At 46.4% G+C, this 6349-nt stretch overlaps 2 annotated features.

The window, feature by feature from the left end:
• Positions 2368–2447: an enhancer, noted in NCBI's record as "active region_22172". NCBI's record gives its function as "activates an Ori minimal core promoter by ATAC-STARR-seq in GM12878 lymphoblastoid cells {active_cell/tissue: GM12878}" and the evidence as "EXISTENCE:reporter gene assay evidence [ECO:0000049][PMID:35858748]".
• Positions 2908–3037: a silencer, noted in NCBI's record as "silent region_15820". NCBI's record gives its function as "represses an Ori minimal core promoter by ATAC-STARR-seq in GM12878 lymphoblastoid cells {active_cell/tissue: GM12878}" and the evidence as "EXISTENCE:reporter gene assay evidence [ECO:0000049][PMID:35858748]".

Here is a 6349-nt window from a genome sequence, read left to right as displayed (position 1 = left end):
AGCATGTTTAATTCAAATGATTGCTAGTGCTACATTTTTCAATGGCATCGTGTCTGTCTCTAAATTCCTTAATATGTTTGCTGTATGGCTGTAACTTTTAAATTGCTAAATGATGACATTAAAGTAAGACCTAATAGGATTTTTTTCAGAGTAGTTAAGCTCAGTTCTCTGCCACGGTAAAATCTATGACAAAACACAATGAAAGGAGCAAGAGATGGGAGATGAGCAGACTAGATTGAAGAACCAGTTCTTTCCTGAAACGGTGCAACAAAGCAGGTGCCTAAGTCTTTGCCGTTCTGCCTGTGAAATGGGCAGCCCATTTGTCTCTGTTCACTTTAAAGCTATTTTTTCAGATGCATGACTGATTGCAAAGTTTTAAAATTTTTGTAGGAAGGCAGATTCTCTCCTCATGTTATTGTTACCATAATATATCAATGTAAGGATTTTTTAAAGTGGCTTTTGAAGAATTTTGTCTTTGTCTCTGAAGGTAAAATGAATGTGACCAGATCACACCAGATCTAAATTTCATGAAATTTTGAGGAAAAAGGAACATCAATTCACAAGAATGACTAAAAAGTTTTATTAACTTTTTCCTTCAATTTAAGCTGCAGTAAATTATTTGAAGAAATAAGTGTATTTAGCTATCTTAACTTTGCAAAACACAAATTCAGTTGCATTTAGAATACTAAAAAGTATTCAAAATGATGTTTGCTTACGTTCAAATGCAAGTTTTTATACTCTTTTAAACTATAACACAATAATTAGACTTTTATTATGGCAGAATGCATTGTTTTTCATGTCGTTGTGAGTCACTGCAATATATAACCAAAGGACCAGTTGACATTTCTGACATGAATGAATCATCCTGTACTCTAATATGCACAAAAACTATTTTCAAATGCTTTATGAATGAAAAAGAAGCCTAAAGAATTGAAGTTTCTGCAGATATATTCCAATCATATTTCAGTAGACACAAAATTTTTTCCAAATATGACAGTAAAACCAGTGTCTCCCCTAAAGTGAGCTCCATACACATTTATTTGGCCTCTTTGTGATTACATCGGGATAAATGAGTGTTATGCAGGTTCCAGTATAGTTTTCCACTGCTCCATCTGCTGGATATGTCTACATCTCCTGCACCAAAGTGGTAACCTCTGAAAAGTAACATGAACTAATTCAGCAGGTGGCTTCAAAAGGCTCAAGCACGTTGCTTGGAAACTTACTATGACTTCTAAATTTTTGTTTCACTAAAAACCTCCTATTTCATCGTAAGAAAAAAATAATAATAATGAACCTATAACTATTACTAAAATAGTATGGCACGGAAGATACGTTTCCCAGTAGGTGATACGTTACAAACAAGAAGGCACTGGGCAATTCATTGCAGGTTTGCACACCGCTCTGATCTTACTGATTTTGGCATTTATCTGAGAGGTTTCAGAGTCCTTCACCTAATCTAGAAATGGAAATCGTATGCATAAAAGTTTTAAAGAGATTTTTAAGCATGTCTGTTATTAAGCACATAAATACCACAAAAGGAAATCATGCCTCTCCAAACACGATTTACCAAGGATCAGGGAGCCCTTAGCATTTTCCCCCGCAGCGTCTTTGCAGGCAGCTCCAGAGTTGCGCTCTCCGACGAGGCAGCCCCACTTTTCCTCCTTCTTCCAGTCACAGACGGGACAACGTGCAGCTGCCGCCACCGGCCAGGCTGCTGTCACCGCTGTCACCGCTGCCGCCGCCGCCGCTGCTTCAAAACCATAGCGGCTACTGCAAAGAAAGGGTTACTCCTCTCTTGGAGTCAAGTGGCTGCAAACTTCACCTGCTTTTCATGTACCTTCTCCTGCAAACTTGTACGTCCTTCCGTGCAGAAGGAGCAAGGAAAACCATTACCAGCATCACAGGGAACATCATAATGAAGGACACCCCCGGAAGGTAAGACCTGCGAGTTATTCCGAAATACGATCTTAATCCAGATGAGAACCACCGCTGCCAGCAGATCCTCCCCCCCACCCTCCTCTCGGTTCCCATCAGCGAGCGGAGCCCATGCCGCCAGGGAGGGCGGCTGCAGCGGCCGCCCGCATGTGCGAGGTGGAGGTAAAGTTTGACAAATGATGACCACTCCGGGAAGGGGAAGAATCTAGGCAGCCAAAAATCCGCGCGGGGTGTGCTAGGGAAGAAGCCGCGCCAGGAAGCGCCACGTACCTTGCTGCGGTGCCAGGCGCGGAGGCTGAGGAGAGAGTCGGTGGAGGTGGCGGGGCGAGAGTCCAGCCCTGGCCGCGGGCTCCCTCCCGGGGCGAGCGGAGCCGCCGCCGCCGCGGCCGGGCGCAGGGCCGAGCGGCCGCCGCCTCGCCAAAGGCGCTGGGCAACGCCACTCACTTGGCCCGGGGAAGTTGGGCAGCCTCCGCCGCGGCCTCGGCACTCGGCGAGAGCAACACGTTTAGTTTGAACTTTCCAGCTCCAGTCCCGGCAAATCCACACTCACGCACACACGCGCGCGCGCGGACAGCCTCTCAGAGGCGCGCGAGCGGGCCCCGGTGGCTCTCTGGTCGCGTCTTGCTCTCTCCCTCGCTCTTATTGGCGCGGAGGTGATTGTTTTATTTATTTATTTCCTCCTCCCGGCTCCATCCCTCCTCCCCGCGCCTCCCTCTCCGGCTTCCCCTCCTCCTCCTCCTCCCCGGTCTGCGGGGCCGGCCGCGGCGGTCGCTCCAGCTGCAGCGTGGCGGGGCTGCGCGGCGGGACCCGGCGGGGGCGCAACGGGTGGGGGCGCTCCGGGCGGGGGCGCGGGGCCGGGCGGGCGGGGACGCCGGGGCTGCCGCCTTGGCTGAGGTGAGGGAATGTGGGGGAGGCGAGGGGAGGACGCTGCCGCCTGCCGCACTGTGCTGTGCCGGGGGCACCCAGCCGGCTGCTGCCGGGGAGAAGCGGGGCGAACCCCGCGCCGCGGCCGAGGAACTGCGCGAGGGGCGGCTGGCTCGGCGCGCCGGGACCCGGCTCCCTCTTCCGCCGGCCGGGCGAGAAGGCTCAGTCGCTTCCTAGCCACCGCCACCCCGCTTCCTTTCCTGCTCTCCCCGGGGGCTCCCCACAGCCCCTCGGGGACGCTCGGACGCGCGCCGCCACCGTTTATCCACAGAAGACAGGGGTTTGCATTTGTGAATGGTGGTTTCAGCGCTACGCGGTTAGGCTGCCTCCACTTTCGAGCCGCCGCTGCCCCGACTCTCGGGAAAGGTGCAGCCACAGCCGGGCGGGGCGGGCTCAGGCCTCCGGGGCAATGAAGTGGGAGTCTGCGGACCACGGCCCCCGGCGCGAGTTGGGGTGCCTACGTGACACTCCAGACCCACCTACAAGAGCCAGGGCGGCAGTGGCTCTGCTGCTACCATTCGCCCCAAAATGAGCTCTAAAACGGCAATTGACCGCTGTTGCTACGGTCTTTCAGTCACGGCCTACCGGGCTCCCAAACCTGCGGGAGAGGCGACCTGAAAGCCGGCCGCCCTCCCCCACACCAGTTACCCAAAGGCCGGGCTGGAAAGAGCCCTGGGCGTAGACCCGGAGACCGGCGGGCGGCTCTCTGCTACCTGCCCCGCTTCCGAGCGGCTTCTCCAACGCCAGCCCTTCCAGGCTTCCCGTTAGGTAAACCTGTTTTGGCTTTTTTTTTTCTCCTTTGATTTGCTATTTATTTATTTTTAGGAATTCATGATTTCAGTCACAAAAGGGGGAAAAATTAAAAGGAAGTAAGTCTACAATAGATCTGCATAAATACAGCCAGTTAACTAAGCAGCATCACAAAGGCTGCAATGTAAATCTCACGCCTTGGAATTGGAGGCAGGTTGGTTTCCTCAGCGTTTGCCCTCCGAAGTCCTCACAGCCTTGGACTGCATTGTACAAGGTCTACAGATACAGGAAGATGGTGACACTGGAGTCCTTGCCCTGATCCGTCACAGTATGCATATGTATGTAAACTGTGCTTTCCTTTCTATCCAAACCTTCCAATTTCCCTGAAATGTATTCATTAGCTATGCATTTCTTAGTCTTCTGGATCTTTTCTCAGAAATTCACCGTTAAGGGTACAAATACTACTTAAGGAGCCGGTTTTACATACTTTACATTTTCCTTGACATCCCGAGTAAGCCCCCCAGAGGTCAGACGGGGAACAGGTGAGGTCAGAAAATGGGAGAAGGTGGAAAAAAAATGTTTATCTTTTAGGTGGAAAAAAAAATGTTTATCTTTTCAGCATGTTCTAGTTCTCTTGCCCCAGCATAATAATGTGCACTTGCCATTTTCAAAGAAGGAAAACAGCAAATGCCCATTTCTGGACCTTTAACTACTCCCGTACTCATGAAACACCGGCTTATTACTGAGAAAAACGGCCACCCATAATTCAATTTAAGACCTTTATTGAATGGAGGAATCTAGAGATAATACCTAAAAGGCAGTAAAGTGCCTTACTGGTCAGCTGAGTGGCGGACATGAAGATGTGCCCGTCTGTGATGACATCTATGCCAGTGAGATAGTAAGAGTTTCACTCAAAATCTGAAAGAACCACGTGCACTTTTAAAGCCAAAGCTTTGGAAACACATGTATTTCTCCAGAATTATAGTCCCCTGCTCCAGAGGTAGGCAGCCTCTAATATAGGGAAATACCTGTCTGATATTGATAGCTTCGACTGTGTTTTACATACAGCGTTTTCTGTATACACACACACATATACACGCACACACACACATATATGAATCTAACATGCACGCACACACACATATATACATATGTATCTAACACATATATACGTACATATATATATATATACACACATACACACACGTATTCCCCAACCCACCACCATAGTTTGAACAACTCTTAAAACAGCATACTTTTTCTAATTTTCTCTGAGGTAATGCAGCTGTTCTCCTTGTCCCTCCTCCCCATTTCCCCACACACTTGCACCCAATATGCTTCTCTTCTCCAGTGTCCAGTGGTAGCAGTGTTCACTGAGTTTTGCAATCCACATTATGATGGCTGTATTCACTTACTAGAGAAACACACATTTGATGCTGGGAATGATATTGACTCTAGATGCAGCAAACATCATTGTCACAGTTATTAGATGGAGAAAAGATGAAACCAGGAATTGATTTCATCATCATAGTAAAGAACTGAATATTGTATAATGTCTATTTTCTGGAAACATCATCTGTTTCAATGATTGTGTTTATGTTTGTACCCACAGCCTAAGGCCTGATTCATAGAAATTTAAAAATATGTGTAGGGTGAATTAAAATTACGAATACATAAACAGGGTGGATAGCCTATTTCTTTGTTAAGGTCACTGAATCAGAAGGAAAATGAGATTAAACATAGGTAGTAAGGGATAACTTAATGTTTTCAAAGGTTATTGTCAGAAATAACAAAAATATACTATCTTTATGTAGAATATAAAAATGTGTAACTGCATTGAATAAATTTATTTAAAAATATTATTTAATTTCTTACTAAAGGGATGGAAAATAAAAGGACATAGAAAGGTTCTGAAGGGGACAGAGGGATGGAAGTTGTGACCGTAAGGGAAGGAAGCTGCAATGGTGGTAGAGGAGGGGCATAATAAGAATATAAGAAACATGGAGAGAAAGAAAAGTATGAGAATCCCTTGATTCTGGCCGAGAACATCAGCAGTCATCAGAAAATCCCTCTTAAACCCTGCTTAATATCCTGAATTTGTGAAAATTTGCCTAAACAGTTAAGTTGCTTGCGTTACCACTGATAGAGCTACATCATACAGGAGAGTGAAACCAAACCAATAATTCTCACTTCCACAGTCAAGAACTTCACTTTTCCCACTTTTTCATAAAAGGCACACTGAGTCATGAATGTATATGGTACCATAATTTTAGTTCAATGTTTTAAAATTTATGAATGCACGTTGGCAAGTCACATAACTCCATCTTGTCCAGAGTCCCTACTTGTAATTTGCAACCAGTGATCTATTTATTTGTGTTTGTGTGTACATATGTATGTGTATGCAGACATATTATCAACATCTAACCAAAGGCACTGCAGTGTGTACATCTAGGTTACACATATGGAAACTGAAGCTCAAAAATAAAAATAAAAAATCTGTATTATTTGTCCCTGCTGGTAAAAAATATGTAAGCATTGCAATTTTGAATACCTAGGGTTAATACTAAACCATTTGCATGTTAGAAAATGACTACCAAAAAAAAAAAAATCATTTAAAAAGGTGTTCTTGGCCGGGCATGGTGGCTCAAGCCTGTAATCCCAGCACTTTGGGAGGCTGAGGAGGGCAAATCACAAGATCAGGAGATTGAGACCATTCTGGCTAACAGGGTGAAACCCCGTC

Source organism: Homo sapiens, chromosome 4 (assembly GCF_000001405.40).
Source record: "Homo sapiens chromosome 4, GRCh38.p14 Primary Assembly".
Taxonomy (NCBI): domain Eukaryota; kingdom Metazoa; phylum Chordata; class Mammalia; order Primates; family Hominidae; genus Homo; species Homo sapiens.
Note: the sequence above shows the minus strand (reverse complement) of the source record. Positions and strands in the feature narration are given on the sequence as shown.